Genomic DNA, 17,105 nt, shown 5'->3' on the forward strand with positions numbered 1-17,105 from the left:
TGGGAGGGGAGGCGTGGGAGGTGGCCTCCCCCTCCTGGACCTGTCGGAGAGACAACATCATAGCCCTCCCCATCACCTGGCCTGCACCCACAGCCCAGTGTGCTGGGTGCCTGCAGACATCTCCCATTCATTAGAGCCACACCATAGCACCCGGGTCTAGGTTCTGATTCCCATTTGCCAGATGAGACAACAGAGGCTCAAAGAGGCCATCTGGTTGCGGTTGCTGAGAGTCCCACGGCCCAGAAGGTTCGCATTGAGATACGATTGCAGGGTCTCTGGCTCTCATGTCATCACTTGCTCACATTCTCACTCAGCAAACCCTCATCCACCTCTCCTGCTGCCTGCCCAAGCGGGAGAGCAGCCAGAGGCAAGCAGGGACTGTTGAGCACCCAGCAGGTATGAAGCACGAGACTGCATAAATGATCTCACTCCAGGGAGGTGGCTGTTATTGTGTTATTGTCCCCTTTTACAGACCAGGAAACTGAGGCTTAAAGAGACCTAGTGACTCACTCAATAAATTAGTGGCAGAGCAGGATTTGAACCTGGGCACACTATTTCCTCAGCCTGAGTGCCTGACTGCTGGGCCAAACTGAATCCATGGTCTGTGTCCCTTCAGTGGGATGGGCCCCAATCTGGCCCGTAGTTCTGGGAGCACACATGCTGTGTGTGTGCCCTCACCAATCATCACAAAGGTCCTCCAGGAGGCCCTGCCATTCCCACTCACCCTTGAAATCCTGTTTCCTTCTCCATTCAAGCTCATGTGGCTCCATCTCTGAACCTTGTTCCGTGCAGGGCTGCTTCCTGCACCAGCTTCCCCACCCAAGCAGTTAGTAAGAACCAGAACTCCATCCGGAGGCTCACAGCAGCCCCTGAGGGAGATTGGCCAAGGGAGACTGGCCAAGGCGGCCGGGAGCTTCCAACTGAGGGAGGCCCCGAGGCCTGCAGGTGCCTTTCTCTTGCTCTGAATGACACTAGGAATCCAAAGATACATCTGGCCTGGGCCTGCAGGCTTGAGGTCAGTACAGGGTTTGCAGGAACCCAGAGGAGCCAGTGGTAGTTCCACCTGAAGCATCGGGGAAGGCTGCCCTGGAGAGGTGGTGCTGGCATGTGGCCTAGAAAGATGACGTGGTCATCAGCCTATCAACTCCACATTTCTCCATCAAGCTCTATCTCCTCTTCCCACACCCACTGCCCCGCCTGGTTTTATCTGTGTGATTGGCAGGCTCCCCAACCCTAATCTGGAGGAGGCTCCAAGCCTCTCCATCACCCTGGCCTCCTCCCTCAGCCTCCTTCTACTGCCTACCTGCCACCACAGCCTCAGAATCTTTCTCAGGTCCCGTCCCCTCCCCACTGGAGGAGGAAGCCTCCGCCAGGGGCCCTGCTCTAGGAAACGTGCTGACAGACTGGGAAGTGTGGCAGGTGGCCCCGTGAATAGTCACGGTTCACATTAAATTCCAGGAGTGTGGAGGTTTTAGAGAATGGCTGCAAATTCTCTGTCATTCCTTCATTGAGAGGCGGGGTCTGTGTCTCCTCCCTTATATCTAAATGGGCTACTTCAACCCACAGAGTGAGGCAGAAGTGATGCTGGGAGGCTGTCTAAGCTACATCAGGCCATGCAGCTTCATCTGGTTCTCTTGGGACACTCATGCTCCGTGCCTGTTGCCATGCTATGAGGAAGTCATAGGCAGAGGCTGGATGGAAGTGCTCCAGTCCAATCAGGCAGGGCCAGAGTCCTCCTGGCCCGGGTGAGGAGGAGGTAAATATGCAGGTGAAGGAAACTGCACATGAATCCAGCCGAGGCTGGGACGTTACAGCACAGGGACAGGCCATCCCTACTGTGCCAGCTATTTCATACCCCTGAGTTTAGGGTGGTTTGTGACACAGCAGGAGATAAACAAAGAGGGGATTTTGTGACTTCCCCCAACCCTGGTCATCATTCCTTTCTCAACACATATCTGCTGGAACCCATGAGGGGACAGGGGCTGTGCAGGCAGCTCAAAGTCAAATCCTAGATCCACTGTATTCTCTGTCCCTGTAAAACAGTGGGGGCAGGATTAGAATCAGGGCACATTTGATAGGACCCCCTGCACTACCCCCAAGCCACTGCACCCACCCTAGCCCCTGACAATATTTGAGTCTGGGGTCTCAGGTCACTAGATGGTGACATGTTCCTCCTGGCTCTGGCTTCCCATGAGGACCTCAATTTGGGTAATCCTGGAAGGCTGCATGGAAGAGACAGGATTTGAGCTGTAACGAACAGGCAGAGTTGAAATAATTGTGACATTTTGTTTATTTATATTAAAATATTATATTAACAATTATATTGATTGCCTTAACATTAAAATACTATACATTTAATATATCCTGAAAATAATACACACTTTTTGCAGAAATGTTTGACAGAAAGGGTGTAAAGAAAAAACAAAAACAAAACCATCTTTGTAATTTCAGTGTCCAGAAATAATCATGGCCGATGTGTTGGTGTATTTCCTACATTTCTACCATCCAACTCAGAACAGGCTGCAGCCTTCAGCAAACTTTCCCAGCTCAAACAGGGCAGAGACCAGCTGGCAGAAGGGAGAGATCCCATCACCAGCAGAAATGCCCATGTTTGGGCCATGTGGCCTCCAAGGAGGGTGCCAATTCAGTGCCCTCCATTCCCAGACAGGACTACTCAGGATCCCCAGTCCAAGGCTGCTCCTTCTCTGCCCTGCACCGACTGCCGCAGGGGTTCTCACAGCCTTTCCTCCTGCCTCAAGCCATTCACATCACTTGGGCAAGGTGGACTCTGCAACCTCCGCCTCTCGGATTCAAGCGTTTCTCCTGCCTCAGCCTCCCGAGTAGCTGGGAGTACAGACACACGCCACCACGCCCGGCTAATTTTTTTGTATTTTTAGTAGAGACTAAAAAAACCATGGGTTTTGCCATGTTGGCCAGGCTGGTCTCAAACTTCTGACCTCAGGTGATCCGCCTGCCTCAGCCTCCCAAAGTCCTGGGATTACAGGTGTGAGCCACCATGCCCCGCCGACTTGCTCTGTTGTAGAGGGGCAGCCTTGAAGACGGTGCATCCTTCTTGCTGCAGACTATTCTTGGCTCTCAAGTCCCCATGCACAAAAAATAACCTGCAGACTCAGGACTGTGTAAATCTATCCTCAGGAGGGCAAAGAAAGCCACTTCTCTAAGCACGCCGGGGGCATACTGGCTGCCCGCCCAACAGATGTCTGGATCAGTCTGAATCCTGGGCACCCGGGAGAGGAAATGAATTCCCTTCATCAGCGGCCTCGAGCCCCCAGCAGTCCTCCTCCACCCGGGGACAAATTCTTCTCTCCCCCCAAGAATGTTTGCAATCCTTCGGATGGCAGTTTTCCAAGACCGACCACTTGAATGTCCTCTCTACCCTCATAAAAGCAAGACCTGTTCCTTGCTGGGAAAGCATGGGGTGGGTGATCGTCTTCAACCTTTAAAGGGCTGGACCCGTAGCTGCTGCACCCGGGGGCACAGCTGACGGGAGAGGAGAAGCGGCCTCTTCTCAGCATGGGGATGTGGGGAGCCGCTCAGGGAGAGAAAACGAGGCCTTTACAGCACCGGTTTAACAGCCTCGGCCACGCATCTGCCCGCACAGATCTAAGGCTTGGCTTCGGGTCCGGCTCCACGCCTGCCCCATGTCCCCACGGTCCGCGGCCCTCGGGAGGCCCGGCCCTGGGGGCTGAGCTCTGCCCTGGGACCGAAGGCCACTCTCCCAGCCAAGGCCGGAGGGCTCTGCCCTGGGCACATGCGCCCCATCCGCCTGCCCTGAGCTGACCCCGCCGCTCCACACCACCCCACTCGCGGCTGAAAAGCTGAAGGCAGCCGCACACTCGCCCTTGCAGCTTGCCCTGCAGCCCGCGCGGCCATGTGAGCAAGCGCAGCCAATCAGAGGCTCGCCCTGGACTCCGTCCCGGGCTGGGGGGCGTGGCTGGAGGGCGTGGCCGGGCGGTACCCGCGGCGTCTCTGCGCTGCCGCCTTTGCTTGCGCGGCTGTGTAGGGGGTTGTGGCGGGCCGGAGAGTCCCCGAGTGACTTAACATTCTCTAAAAATACCCCATTTTTGAACTTCGACGACCTGGGTTGGCCTGCTCACTCTGTGTCCCTGCGCTCCTCTGCTTCTCTGCTCCTTCGGTCTTGTGTGCTGGGGACACGTGGGCCTTTCCAGTTCCCTGCAGCCACCTTTGGTCTGTAGGAAGGCAGTGGCGCAGGGAGCGGTGGGAGCCCGGGTCTGCAGGGCTCAAGGTGGCGACGGCGAAGCGGTCTGCCCCACCCGCCACCCCCACCCGCAGGATGCGCATCGCCAGTGCAGCCCGGGTCGTGGCCCCCCAACAGACCCAGTCCCGCCGCGACACGGCAGCAGCACCTCTTCGCCGCGACACGGCAGCAGCACCTCTTCGGCCCTTTGAGCTCTTCCCTCCTTATTTCTCAGTCTCATGCTACACTGCGATTCTTTTATTTATTTGCTATTTTAGGCAGTATCCGCCGGCTCTCTACCATGGACACTCAGTGAGGATTTGGTTCTCTTAGGTATGAACCCTGTGCTTCACCTCCTGTGAGCTCCAAGACTCATTTCATCAGTTTTGGGATGCATCAGTATTTGGTGTTTACAGTATTATGGTTATGTAAATATTGTTCCCAGCTGAGCTGTGCAGTACATTGTGACAACATTTTCCATTTTGTGTTGTTTGTTTTCCTGGGAATTCATAATAGCCTGTTTTCTTCTTGCATCAAGCTGGACACTCAGTGGATCCTTTCAAATCTGGAGACATGACCTTCGGTTCTGGGAAGCTGGAAGGCACAAGTGCTGTTTTTACAAGCTCTGAACTCATCTTGTTTCTGTCCCCACCTGCCCCCCCACTTCCAGAGGGACCTTGTGACTCCCAGGCTATGTATCTGGGGGGCCTCTGGCCTTGAATGGTTCCCTCGACATGCAGAATTTGGTTGCAGCTTCCTCCACTCTGCCTAGGTGATTACTATTAATTTTCCAGCTTCGAAAATTCTGTAGGCTGGATGCGGTGGCTCGCTTCTGTAATCCCAGCACTTTGGGAGGCTGAATCAGGAAGATCGCTTGAGTCCAGGAATTCAAGACCAGCCTGGGCAACGTGGCAAGACCCTGTCTCTACAGAAGAATTTAAAATTAGTGGGGTGTGGTGGCGCACGCCTGTGGGCCCAGCTACTCTGGAGCTTGAAGCGGGAGGATCACTTGAGTCCAGGAGGTTGAGGCTGCAGTGAGCAAAGATTACGCCACTGCAATCCAGCCTGGGTGCCAGAGAGAGACCCTGTCTCCAAAGGAAAAGTTCTGTAGACTTTTTGTCCTTGCCATTGACTTTCTTTGTCATTGACTTTCTTTATAAGTTTGCGACTTAAACATTTTTCCTTATATTGTCATCTTAGTGGGGTTTGGAGAGGGAAAAGAGAAAAATATCCCTGTTAGTTCCATGTTAGCTAGAAGTCCCTCTCACTCTGAGCATCTACTATGTGCCACAGCCTATTTTAAGCCAGCCCTTATCCCCAGTTTCACATGGCTCTTTCTTGTCACCCAGGCCTGAGCAGAGAAGACACCTCCTCCAGGAAGGTCTCCCTGACTACCCAGTGCTTCTCTGCTACATCACTCAGCTCTACTTTGGTTCATAGCCCTTACGGCTTTTCGAAATTATTTTATAGATTTATGTTCATCCATGCTGAATTTGCCTTATTTCTCAAGCTCCTCTAGAAGGCTTGCCCCATAAAGGCAGGAGGTCTTCACTGCCCCATGAAGGCAGGGACCTTTCTGTCTTGGTTTTCACTGTATCCTCAGTGCCTCCCATAATGTCAGGCAAAACCAGATGCTCAGGAAGCATATGGAACGAATGGATGGGTTTGAGCGTGACACAACTTCAGGATTGCTTAAGAAAATGCTGATAGTGGTAGCCAGGCGCGGTGGCTCACGCCTATAATCCCAGCACTTTGGGAGGCCAAGGTGGGCAGCTCACGAGGTCAGGAGTTCGAGACCAGCCTGACCAACATGGTGAAACCGTGTCTCTACTAAAAACACAAAAATTAGCCGGGTGTGGTGGTGTGCGCCTGTAATCCCAGCTACTCAGGAGGCTGAGGCAGGAGGATCGCTTAAACCCAGGAGGCGGAGGTTGCAGTGAGCTGAGATTGCGCCACTGCACTCCAGCCTAGGTGACAGAGTGAGACTCCGTCTCAAAAAAAAAAAAAAAAAAAAAAAAAAAGCTGATAATGGTCCAAGCTTACTGGGAACGAAAGACCCTGCCATGAAAGGGTGAGACACTCATCGTGGGAGGGACATAAGCCCAGGCTTGGATGGCCGAAAAGGGACAGAAGCATTGATGGGAACGGACAGGGTGACCTCCAAGGCCTGGCTGAGACAACTCATTGGTTCACGGTTACTTGGCTACTTCCTGGCCTAGATTAGAAAACAGCACTTTGAAGGCAGATATGCTGGATGCACCCGTGTTGTGGAGTCAGCCCCATTGGGACGCTTTTGCCTCTCTTCTCCCTGGTTGTGTGATCTCACGGGCAAGTTGCTTCATCTCTGTGTCTGCAGTACTTCTCACCCATCATGGGGCAATAAGAACAGCCCTGTGGTCTTGGCATCTAGATAATGAAGCACAGGATTGAACTAAAAAGGCTGACACACAGTAGGCTGTTACAGTGATGGTCTGGGTTAAAAATCTGGTGTCATCCTTCCTGGTGGTGGAACCTGGGCAAGCGCTTGAAGCCTTGGGCTTCTGTTTCTTCATCTGTAAGATGAAAGTCTAACCACACCCACTTCCCTGGGATGTGTGTCAAGTCACGAGGCCTGGCATGCAACAGGTGCCAGTAAGTGTTGTCCCCTTGACTGCCTCCTGCCTGCTGGGCAGGAAGTGCTAAGTTTGAGAACCCTGGGCAGGGAGACACCATGCTGAGGCTCCTTGGACCCCTGGACTGGTGTTGGGGACAGCCACAGGGTTGTTCGTGCAACCCTGCAGGGAACCGGGCAGGCCAGACTCAACTGCTCTGTTAGAAGCAGAGCTGGTGGCTTTCCAGAAAGCAGTGAAGGGAGCTCAAGGGGAGTTTGTTTTGCTCGGAAGCAGGGTGTTGCAAAACACTTTAGTGGAAGTGTGGGCAGGAAAAGGCAGGGAAAACTATCTCCATCTGACAGAACAGATTTCAAACAATAGCTCTGCCATTACCAGCGGTATTGGATGCTTCTGGGCACCTCTCTGAGCCTCGATTTTCTCATCTCTTTAGTGGAGATGATGATAATACTAGACACCTCGTTGGGACATTGAAAACTTTCCTCCACTCCGCAAGTATTCACTGAGCACCTACTGTGTGCCGGAGACACTGCAGTGACCAAAGCAAAGGCATTGCCCCCGTGCAGCTTGCATCACAGTGAGTCCATAAGATGCTGTGCTTGGAGGGACTAGCACATAGTAGGAGCTGTAAAAATAGGACTTGCTGTTTTGCTAGTGGAGCCAGTCACTTGTGTGAATTCATCTTTTGATATTTGAGAGTGATGATGATTTAAAGAAAGCAGGTGAGCCTCCGTTGAGGTTTCCTTCTCTATATTTCGACTTCAGAACCGGCCCCTGAGTAAAAGATGCTCAGGAACCACATATTGCTGCCTCCAAGCTTCTCAAGTTTTCACTTTTCCACCATCACCAGCATGGCCTGATGCTGTTCTGGGGAGAACCAGTCACAGGCCCTGCTTTCAAGCAGCAGGAGTCGTATGGGAGAGGCAGACAGGGGCGCAGCCACTGACAGGGCGGGTGAGCCATGGTGAGAGGGGCTGGGGCAGGGGCACTGGGCAGAGCAGTGTCAGGCAGGGCCTCCTGTCCCACCTTCAGAATTGGGCCTCGAAGGAGCGGAGGGAATGTGTCAGGTCGGAAGGTAGGGAAGGGCATTCCTGGCTAAGGGAACAGCCTTTGCAAAGAAAGGTTCAAAGAGGAAAGCTTGAATTCAGAGTGGCTGGACTGGGGGATGTCTGGAGAAGTCACCAGGGGTTGGAGTGTTGGAAGTTGCCCGCCTAGGGAGCCAGGGCAGGACTTAGAACTTGGCCAGCCGTGTTTGGGAAGGCTCTGGCTGCAGTGTGGAAGGCCTGGGGGCAGGCAGCACAGAGAAGAGGAGGCTGGATGGCCGTCAAAGCAGTGAGGGCAGTGGATCCTGTGCTCCTGGGCACTCTAGAGCACTGCCGGGCCCTGGTCACCAGAGGGCGCTGTGGGGCAGCAAGCAGTGGAGGCCCCAGCTGGTGGCAAGGCTATGCATAGACCATGTGCACCGCTGTGCCTGTGGGTTGTGTCTGTGGACGTGACCATGTGGTCCCTCCACATGAACGTACACACTTGTGCACCCCCTTGTGTCATGTGTGTGTGCATGTGTATTTGGGGTGTGTGGACTTGCACAGGTGTGAAGGGGCACGTGGGAGTGAGTACGTCCAAGGGGGTGTATATAGGTGAGAACAGGGACTCCTCAGCTCCCACCACCCAGCCACATCGGTCTCCTTGTTACTCGCCTACAAGCCATCCACCTCAGGGCCCTTGCACAACTGTTCCCTCTGCCTGGAATGCTTTTCCCCCGGATCTCTTTGTGGGTCCTTCCGTTAAGTCCTTTGGTCTCTGTTTATGTGGCACCTTCCAGGGAGGCTTTTCCTGACCTCCCTCCTTAAAATTATAGCCCCCATGTCCAGACACACACCCTGTCCCCTCCCCTACTTTCCCCCATAGCATTTGTAATAATTTTTTGTTTTTTGAGACAGGGTCTTGTTGCCCGCCAGGCTGGAGTGCAGTGGTATAACCTTGGCTCACTGCAGCCTTGACCTCCTGGGTTCAAGTGATCCTCCCACCTCAGCCTCCTGAGCAGCATGCCACCATACCCAGCCAACTTTTTTTTTTTTTTTTTTTTGTAGAGACGAGGTTTTGCCATGTTGCCCAGGCTGGTCTCAAACTGCTGGGCTCAAACGATCCACCTGCCTCGGCCTCCCAAACTGCTGGGACTATAAGTGTGAGCCACCATGCCTGGCCTGACATAATTTGACTTAGGCATTTTGCTTGTCTGGCTCACACACCAGGTCATACCTCCCCAGGGAGTTGTGTCCATCTTGTTCAATGTTGTGTTCTCAGTGCCAGTCACACAGTAAGTGCTCAATGAATATCTGTTGAATGAATGAAGGAGCTGCCCACATCCTGGGTTTGGGTCAGCCTCTCTCTTTTTTTTCCCCCATCATCAGTATTTATTGAGCATTTACAGTGTACTAGGCACAATAGAACATACAGAAAACATTTCCCTGCCCTTGAGGAGCTTACATTTTAAAAGAAAAAATACACCTCTTTTAAAATGGCATTTTTGTTTGGTGTTTTCTGCAAAGTACCGAGGAAATATTTTGTAAAGTGATGCTTTGGGTATAACTTAGCCCCATCATTATTTAAAGAATAGAGGAAGAAGAAAGAGGAAGGATTTTAAAGGCAGACAATGACAGACCATTCAGGATAGGTAGGGTTTTAAAGGGAGATAAACACAATCTCATCGACTAAGGAGAGATTTGCTGTAGTAAATAGGATGAGGGAAATAGTCTGTGGGATGCAAGCAAAGGAAGCAGGGTGCCTTAGACATTGATTGGAGCCAGAAAGATCATGCGGCCTTTTTCCAAGTACATGGCCACCAAGTAGGAATGGTTGGTGACAAGACAGAAGGCTAAAAAAGGAAGGTAATCTTGTGCACCTGACAAATAGAAAGAATAAAGGATCAAAATCGAAGGCAGGCTACAATAGTATCAAGAAATTCTTAAAAACCAAAAAGTGATTTGGAAGCACAAAACTTATAGTTAATGCTATTGAGTCAGCCTCTCTTTACAGCCTTCTGTCACCCCAGGTCCTGCCCACCTCAGATCATGCTTGCATCCTGACTTTGGCCACAATCCTTCCCATCCAGAGACTCAGTTTCCTGCATCCACAGAGAGCAGGTTTGGGACTTTTCTCCTAGGAATCAAGGTAAGAGGCAGCCTCTTGTGACCCATGTCAAACATTTATTCTGCTTTCTGCATGGTCATGGAGTTCCCCAATCTGACTGTGCCACTTACAGACAGAAAGAAATCAAGAGATGTCACTATAGCAAGCCAGCAAGAGACCTTTGTCTCTGATGGTTCTTGATGGTACTTCTTGAGCTCCAGTGGTGCAGCTGTGCATCCCAGTCTGGCCCTCACCTGGTCCTCATGTGTGGCCCTTTTTACATCTCCAACCCATTGCCTCTGCTGTTCCTTTCCAGGGATGCTCTTCTTGCTTCTCTGCCTGGTAAGCTCCTACTGGTCCTTAAAAGTCCAGTCTCAAAATCACCTCCTCTGAGAGGCCTTCCTTGTCCCCACCCAGATGGAGATGGCTGCATCACCCAGGCACCCTCCTGGGACTTTTGCTCATGCATCTATTTATAGCACTCACATGGAGTTTTGTGATTCCTGAGCTGTTTATCGGGCTCCTGACTAATCCCCAAACTCCTTGTATGCGAGGGCCTGTCTGAGTCATCTGGCCGCCAAGGAGGTTGGCACGGGACTGGAGTCGCTTCACCCTGGTCTGTGGATGCTTTCCTCCTTCCTTTTTTCATTCCTCAAATATTTATCAGGCACCTACTATGTGCCTGGTTCTGGGCTATGCATTGGGAACACAGCAGGGAATGAGGCTCGGATGGTCTGGAGGGAGAGCTGTGTTAAAAACTGAGTCAGTAACAAAGACATCAGCAGCATAAGTGTTGTGCCTCAGTCTGGGGACCATGATGAGAAGGCCTCTTAGGGGTGTTCATTTAGGAAGCGGTCTGAGGGATGAGAGGGAACCAGCCCCAGGAGGCTTGAGTGGAAGAATGTTCTGGGCAGGAGCAGCAAGGGTGAAGCTGCTGCGGCAGGACCATCCCTGGCACATTTGAGGGGCAATACTGAGACTCTTGAACATCCCAAGAAGCAGAGTGCACAAGGCGGAGTGTGGCCTTGTGCAGAAGTCAAGGCTGTTGGCCAGTGCCTGAACCCAGAAAACTCGCTGGACTAGCCTTGCAGTTCTGGTAGAAAGGAAGCTGCTCCTGGATGCCCATTTTACAGACGGATAAGCACAGGTCACCAGGGATGATATGGCAAGGATGGAGGCAGCCCACAGTGTTTTCAAACTCACATTTCCTGGGCACCTAGTGAGTGCCAAGCCCTAGGCCAGGTGTTTCCACTCCTGAACTCATGAAACGCTTTCAGAGACCTTATTGTCCCCATGGGATAGGTAAACTGAGGCACAGAGCTGCTCAGTGACTTCTTTAAGGTCATCCAGCTAGTAAGTGGAGGAATTGGTATTGGAACCCATACCTATCTGAGCCCCAGACTCATGATTTTCCATCCCACTGCCTGGGAAGGGTGAACAGGAGACGCAGGAAGAGAATGGTGATGGCTGCAAGGCTTCCCTCTTATCTCCTGTGGCTCCCCACTCTGTGCATGGGGCCCTGCATCACCCCCACTTTACACCTGGGCAAGCAGAGGTCAGGCCCGGCCTCAAGCCTTTCTAGCAGGTGGTGGAATCTGCTTCCCTCACGTGAGGTCCCTGACAGGGTACACATGTCTGCCTGGAGGCCAGGGGCTGACCCCTTGACCTTTGCCTGGTACATTCTGCCTTCACTAGCCCTGGCTTTACATCCAGAGTCATCTGTTCCCAGCGCCAGATTGGTCAGCGGTTCCTGAAATCCCCCGAGGTTCCGTGTGGGAGCAGAGGGAGGACTGGCCCATCCAGCCATTATGCAGATGGGCAGACTGAGATCCTAGGAGGAGAGGAGAGAACGAAGGTCCAGGAGAGAGCCAGGATGGGGCCTCGGGGCTCGCGGGATAAAATGCACCGCATGCCGCCTCACTCCCTCTGAGACACGGTTTCCCCCTGTGTAGAACAGGGGCAGCAGTAACCAGCCACGAAAACTCCTCGTGCTGCCTCGTCACCGGGCATCGCTGAGCTCACCACCGACCCCGCGCCCTGGCCGGGCGCCTGGAGCGCGGGCGCGGGCGACGTTTGCTGGCGCCAGGCCCTCAGTGCGTGTTAGCGAGCAGCGCCGGGAGATAGCTGTCACCGCCGCCCGCTCACAGATGCGTAGACTGAGGCTCAGGTGTCACCACCTGACCAAGGCTAGTTCCGCTACAAAGCTGCCGACTCGGATCCGAACCCGGGTCCAATTTACAGAAAAGGAAACTGAGGCCCAGAGACACTAGGGAGCTTGCTAGGGTGAGGCAGCTGCAGGTTCAGAGAGCCAGGAGGCAGCCCAGCAGCGCACTTTTAACCCCCGCCCACTTCGGCAGGCCCAGCCGTGCCACCTTTAGGGATCTCGGGTTTTTTCCAGACGACGCACCCAGGAGAACGCGCCCGCGCATCGCACCCGCCGGGGCTGCGGGTCTGGGGGTGCCGGGCTGGGCCTGGGCGCCTGCAGGGAGCAGCGGGCTCAGTGGGTCCCGGGAGTGGGTGGGGCTTGCATGTTGACGGGCAGCGCGAGGGGCGCGGCTTTAGTCCAGGGGGCGGAGCCTGACCGGACCTGGGTTTTTCGGGCGGCTGGCGGACTTGACAGAGAGCGGGAGGGGCCCGGATCCTGGGCCTAAGGAGGGTGGGGCGTGTGCTTGACAGGCAGGGACAGGCCGGCGTCTGATAGGCAGAGGACGGGCCTTGGAAACGAAAGGACCAATCGGGCACGCAGGGGCGGGGCCTGAGTCAGCGCAGTTCGGCCGGGGTCTCCCCGGCGCTGCCCAGTCTGTCTCCGGCGCCGCCCGTCGCGGACTCGTCCTTGCTGCAGTCGCCGCCGCAGTCCTCGCCGCAGTCGCCGCCGCCGCCGCCGCCGCCGCCGCTGCTCCTCCGCCTGGCCTGGGCCGTCTGCCCGCAGCCATGAGCGTGCTCGGCCCCGGTGGAGCCCGCAGTCCTCTAGATTAGTCTCCACCGCCGTCCAGGACCCACTTGCAGCATGGAGTCGCCCGCCTCGAGCCAGCCCGCCAGCATGCCCCAGTCCAAAGGTAGGCGCTCCCGGCCGGGACCTCGGCCTGACCCCGCGCCTAATCTGGGGCCGGGCTGCAAACCCCGACCTTTCTTTGGTCCCACCCCATCCTGTTCTCGACCTGGCAGCGGCGTCCGGTCCCGGAACCCCTTCCTGTTCGGGGTCCCGGGACCAGCCCCCGCCTGGGCCCTCACCTGGACCCCCACGTTAGGCCTTGGGACTGCACTCAGGCCCGAGATCACCCAGGCTGGACCCAGACTAGGACTTTGTTCTGCTCACCCCATCCAAGTCAGGAGCCTCATTCTGACCTCATTTGGGCCTTATGGCTGCAGCCTGGACATGAACTCTCCCAGTCTTCTCCCTCAGCGGGACCCAGGTGAGATTCACACTGGCCTTCACCTGGGTCCTTGGGCAGCACCCAGTCCCATTTCTAGCTTCGGGTCCCAGGGCTGTATCCAGGTTGGGATTTAACTTGAGTCTCCATCTGGGCCCCAGAGTGCTCCTGTTGTTGCGGACCTCACTGTACCCCCTATGCGGGTGCTCTGGCTACACCCCAGCTCGGAACTCCCCGTCCTTCTCTCCCCCAGCTCTTCTTATCCTTATAGGCCCTATGTTGCCCCTTCCCTGGCTGGCCTGCACCCTGTCCTGCAGCCCTGGGCTCCCAGGAACCTTCCTTGTCCTCCCACCCCTCCCTAAGGTACAGCCCCCTCTCTACCGGCCTCTCTCTGTCTTGAGTTGCAAGCTTCTCCCTGCACTGGGGGTTCTCACCCCATCTTATTCTTGTCCTGGCTGCCTGGGATCTGGGCCAGCCGCCAGGCCAGGGTGCTGGCTGTGCAAGGGATTTGCTCTTCTCCAAGTAGCTGGCCTTCCTGGAAATTTTTGTGAGGTGGCAGCAGCAGGATTTGTCATGCGGAGGGGGAAGGATGAAACTCGGAGGGCAAAAGGGGAATTTTTTTTTTTTCAGGAAGAGGAAAGGATGTTTTTGGTGCGTCGGAGTTTCAGTAGGCTGGGTTGTGCGAGAGATTTCCAAACCGGACATAGCCGTAATGAATGGGCTGCCTCCTGGCTTTCTGAACCTGCAGCTGCTTCACCCCAGCAAGCTCCCTGGTGTCTCTGGGCCTCAGTTTCCTTTTCTGTAAATTGGAAGTAATCGCACCTGCTTCTGTGGACGTGGGAGTGTGGTGTGGGGTGGTGAATAGTAAAGAGCTCTGAGGCGTTCTCTCAGCGTAGCACCTGGCGCAGAGCCGGTGCTCACCAGGGTACACTGGCTGCACACATCTCGCTATTGTTTCCATTCTTCTTGCTGGAAAGGCCTCCACTGCTGGAAGTGCAGCCTCAGAGTGAGCAGGAGGAAGCACCTAGCAGCGGGCACCTAGTGGGCACTTCATCAGGGGTCAGCCGCTCTTCTGTTCTGGAGGGTGCAGGCCAATGGGAGCCCTATGTGGGCCTGGGGAGGGCATGGGCTCTTCCTGGCCCCTGCTGCTGGCTGCTATGGTGGCTGGAGCCGGGTGGGCTGGATAATTATGCCTTACATAAGTGGGAGGCCGGATCCCTGACCATTGCCCAACCACTGTGAGTAACTCGGGAGGCACTCGACGGGGGAGGTGTCTGGGGAGGGACTTGCACTGCACAGACCTCGTGGAGCTTGGGAACCAGGAAATCAGACACTTCTCCACTCTGGAGAGCTCGGGGAAGGGTAGGAAGCACTGTTTGTTTTGGAGGCTTTTTAGCTCTCCAGGCAGAGAATGCCTCATCAAAATAAAAGTTCCAGTTGCAGAGTTGTGAAAGGAGAGGGGTCATAGATGCAGTGAGAATGCTGTGAGAGGGCCAAAATGAACTTCTAGATGTGGACCCAGGTCCTAGATGAGGTTGAGGGGGCTGGATGGAGGGTCAGGGACCTCCCTCAGGCCCAGGGACTCTGTAGTCTCTTTGGGGTCTGGGGAAGGATGTGGTGGCAGAGCCACAATGCCCTTCACCAAAAACCCTATGAGCTCCTTCTTTTTTTCCATGTGCCATGCATTTTCTCATTTATTCCTCATAGCCCCATTTACTGATAAGGAAACTGAGGCGTTAAGTGCCTTGCCTGAGGCCACACAGCTGTGACAGGCGGAGCTAGGGTTCCCCCTAGGACTGTGTTTCCACAGTGGCCTTCCCCGTGCTCCCCTATGTGCCCCTCCCATGCTGGATGCCTGAGCTGAGCTGGTGGGGTGCCCCCACCCCTGGCCTTGCTCAGAGCATGTGCAGTGGGCCTGTCCTCATGGCCACGTCAGACCTAGAGGACAGACTGAGGCAGAGGTGATGCCTCTCCTGTGCACAGCGCTTTACACTGGGCCTGTTGCATTCTCGCTGCAAAATCCCACTCATTTGACAGATGCAGAACTCAGCTTGGATGGAGGAGTGGCCGGACTGCCCCCATAGGTGGAGAGCCTCACTCTGTGCCCACCCCATCCTGGGCACTGGGCCTCCCAGCACTGATCCCTTCTCCACCTTCTCAAAGGAATTTGAACAAAGCAGGGAGTGGCTGGCGCTTGACCTTACTGGAGCTTTACCTTTGAGCTTCCTGCCTGGCAGCAGGTGCCCTGCACTGTTTCCATGCCATGGGCCTGGGGAGTTTTCTATGAGTGTGTGAGGCCCTCAGGCCCACAGCTCTGCTGGTTTTCCCCTGGCCTCCTTGCCCACATGGCCATCTCTGGCTGGGGTTAGAGGCCAAGTGGCTGGCGCTGGGGCCAGTGGGTGGGGGCATGTGTGCAAGCCACATTTGTCCTTGGAGGGTACCACACGTGTCCTGTTGTCGTTCAGAACATGGGTTCTGCCCCTTCTGCCCTAAGAGTGCCACCTGTGGGAGCACTTCATGGCTAATCTTCACACAGCTTGGACTGTGGCTGTAGGACTCCTGACTGCCCGATGGTGACACTGAGGTTTCATAGAGCACTGTTGTATCCTAGCCCTGCCTGCTGTGGCCACCCCCCCAACCCCTGGCTGTCGGAAAGACTGGAGGTGGCACCTCGGGGACTTCCCCCACCCCTCTTGTGACGCACAGGAAACTCTCTGTCAGCCAACCCATGGCCCAGCGCCCAAAGGGAGCAAAGTTCTCAGTTGGCCCGTGTGAGGAGAAGGCCGGGGCAGCGGAGGCTTCCGGCGGTGAGTCAGCGGGCACTGGGTGCTGACTCACCCGCTGGGCATGCCAGCCGGCTGCCTACAGCTTAAAGGGGCGATGCCTGCCAGCCTGGTGGGTGGGGAGGGGGTTACGTGTCCTGCAGGTGGCACCTAGCCCTGAGCTGGGGCACTGGAGGTGGCCCCTTCCTGGGCCTCGGACTGGGCTGGGAACCCCTGGGCAGGCCCTCTGTGCCCCACCCAGGAACTTCCTCTATTAGGCAAGGGGCTCTGCTTCCTCTTGCTCACAGAGCAGGAGCAGGTGGCAGTGACTGTTTACCACCCTTGGCCCAGGGGACACCTCAGGTTCAGCTGTGCAGCTGGGACTCAGGGAGGGTGAGGAGCAGAGGTGGTGCAGGGTCGGCTGGGGTGGGACCCGGCCTGAGCTCCTGGAAGATGGTGATGTGGAGAGGCTAAGACCTCAGTTTCCAGAGCCTGACTGCCTGGGTCCAAACCCCAGCTCTGTCCCTTTTGCGATGTGACGTGGGACAAGTTGCATCTGGTCCACTCTCTGCACTCTGTAAATGATTTCTGTCCCCTGGGCATGGCCCAGCTCTCAGAGGAGAAGCTTCCATTTCCTCATCTGCAGACTGAGAATGGGGACCCTGCTTGTCTGGATGTAGACAGTTCCATTCCACACTTGCTAAGTGTCAGGCACAAGTCATAGTGAGACTGCCCTCTGCCTGCAGAGAACCCAGCCGAGGCATGCCTCTGTCAGGCAGGAAGCCGGGGGTCCTGGGCTCTGCTGGGATGGCCCTGGGTTCGAATCCTGGCTCCACTACTTCCTTACCTGGGCAAGTCTTGTGCCCTCTTTAGCCCTCAGTCTCCTCTTCTGTAAAGTGGGAGTAAACATGCTCCCTTGCAGGGTAGTGGTCGAGATTGAAGATAGCATTTGTTAAGTGAATGGCACCTGTTATTATTTTATTATTGTTACTTTTGTGGGTGTAGTTCATTGGTA

At 55.1% G+C, this 17,105-nt stretch overlaps 1 protein-coding gene across 8 annotated transcripts in view, besides 10 other annotated features; it reads left to right on the top strand.

Moving 5' to 3' along the window:
* Positions 3,553 to 3,752: a silencer, noted in NCBI's record as "silent region_8317". NCBI's record gives its function as "represses an Ori minimal core promoter by ATAC-STARR-seq in GM12878 lymphoblastoid cells {active_cell/tissue: GM12878}" and the evidence as "EXISTENCE:reporter gene assay evidence [ECO:0000049][PMID:35858748]".
* Positions 3,763 to 4,072: a silencer, noted in NCBI's record as "silent region_8318". NCBI's record gives its function as "represses an Ori minimal core promoter by ATAC-STARR-seq in GM12878 lymphoblastoid cells {active_cell/tissue: GM12878}" and the evidence as "EXISTENCE:reporter gene assay evidence [ECO:0000049][PMID:35858748]".
* Positions 8,051 to 8,130: an enhancer, noted in NCBI's record as "active region_11883". NCBI's record gives its function as "activates an Ori minimal core promoter by ATAC-STARR-seq in GM12878 lymphoblastoid cells {active_cell/tissue: GM12878}" and the evidence as "EXISTENCE:reporter gene assay evidence [ECO:0000049][PMID:35858748]".
* Positions 11,827 to 12,327: an enhancer, noted in NCBI's record as "H3K4me1 hESC enhancer chr17:21187095-21187595 (GRCh37/hg19 assembly coordinates)". NCBI's record gives its function as "activates a minimal SCP1, AML or CMV promoter by ChIP-STARR-seq in naive H9 embryonic stem cells {active_cell/tissue: H9 hESC(naive)}" and the evidence as "EXISTENCE:reporter gene assay evidence [ECO:0000049][PMID:30033119]".
* Positions 11,827 to 12,743: a biological region, named in NCBI's record as "H3K4me1 hESC enhancer GRCh37_chr17:21187095-21187595".
* Positions 12,214 to 12,743: a silencer, noted in NCBI's record as "silent region_8319". NCBI's record gives its function as "represses an Ori minimal core promoter by ATAC-STARR-seq in GM12878 lymphoblastoid cells {active_cell/tissue: GM12878}" and the evidence as "EXISTENCE:reporter gene assay evidence [ECO:0000049][PMID:35858748]".
* Positions 12,755 to 17,105, top strand: part of MAP2K3 (mitogen-activated protein kinase kinase 3) — a 30,530-nt gene continuing 26,179 nt past the window's right edge. For 4 of the 8 annotated variants that reach the window (XM_017024859.2, XM_047436408.1, NM_001316332.2 and 1 more), the window contains exon 1: positions 12,755 to 13,013. Coding sequence is in view for 4 of the 8 variants with exons in the window: in XM_047436408.1 (XP_047292364.1) it covers positions 12,965 to 13,013 (49 nt within the window). In the remaining 4 variants the exon portion in view is untranslated. Of the gene's footprint in view, positions 13,371 to 16,079; positions 16,136 to 17,105 lie in introns of those variants that run through there. The other 4 variants (XM_011523959.3, NM_002756.4, XM_017024857.3 and 1 more) reach the window with 3 other exon arrangements.
* Positions 14,404 to 14,463: an enhancer, noted in NCBI's record as "active region_11884". NCBI's record gives its function as "activates an Ori minimal core promoter by ATAC-STARR-seq in GM12878 lymphoblastoid cells {active_cell/tissue: GM12878}" and the evidence as "EXISTENCE:reporter gene assay evidence [ECO:0000049][PMID:35858748]".
* Positions 15,604 to 16,803: an enhancer, noted in NCBI's record as "P300/CBP strongly-dependent group 1 enhancer chr17:21190872-21192071 (GRCh37/hg19 assembly coordinates)". NCBI's record gives its function as "activates an origin of replication core promoter dependent on BRD2, BRD4, P300/CBP, MED14 and CDK7 cofactors, with strong dependence on P300/CBP, by STARR-seq in HCT116 cells {active_cell/tissue: HCT116}" and the evidence as "EXISTENCE:reporter gene assay evidence [ECO:0000049][PMID:35650434]".
* Positions 15,675 to 16,270: an enhancer, noted in NCBI's record as "H3K4me1 hESC enhancer chr17:21190943-21191538 (GRCh37/hg19 assembly coordinates)". NCBI's record gives its function as "activates a minimal SCP1, AML or CMV promoter by ChIP-STARR-seq in naive H9 embryonic stem cells {active_cell/tissue: H9 hESC(naive)}" and the evidence as "EXISTENCE:reporter gene assay evidence [ECO:0000049][PMID:30033119]".
* Positions 16,114 to 16,203: an enhancer, noted in NCBI's record as "active region_11885". NCBI's record gives its function as "activates an Ori minimal core promoter by ATAC-STARR-seq in GM12878 lymphoblastoid cells {active_cell/tissue: GM12878}" and the evidence as "EXISTENCE:reporter gene assay evidence [ECO:0000049][PMID:35858748]".

The sequence above is a fragment of the Homo sapiens genome, chromosome 17, assembly GCF_000001405.40.
Source record: "Homo sapiens chromosome 17, GRCh38.p14 Primary Assembly".
NCBI lineage: Eukaryota > Metazoa > Chordata > Mammalia > Primates > Hominidae > Homo > Homo sapiens.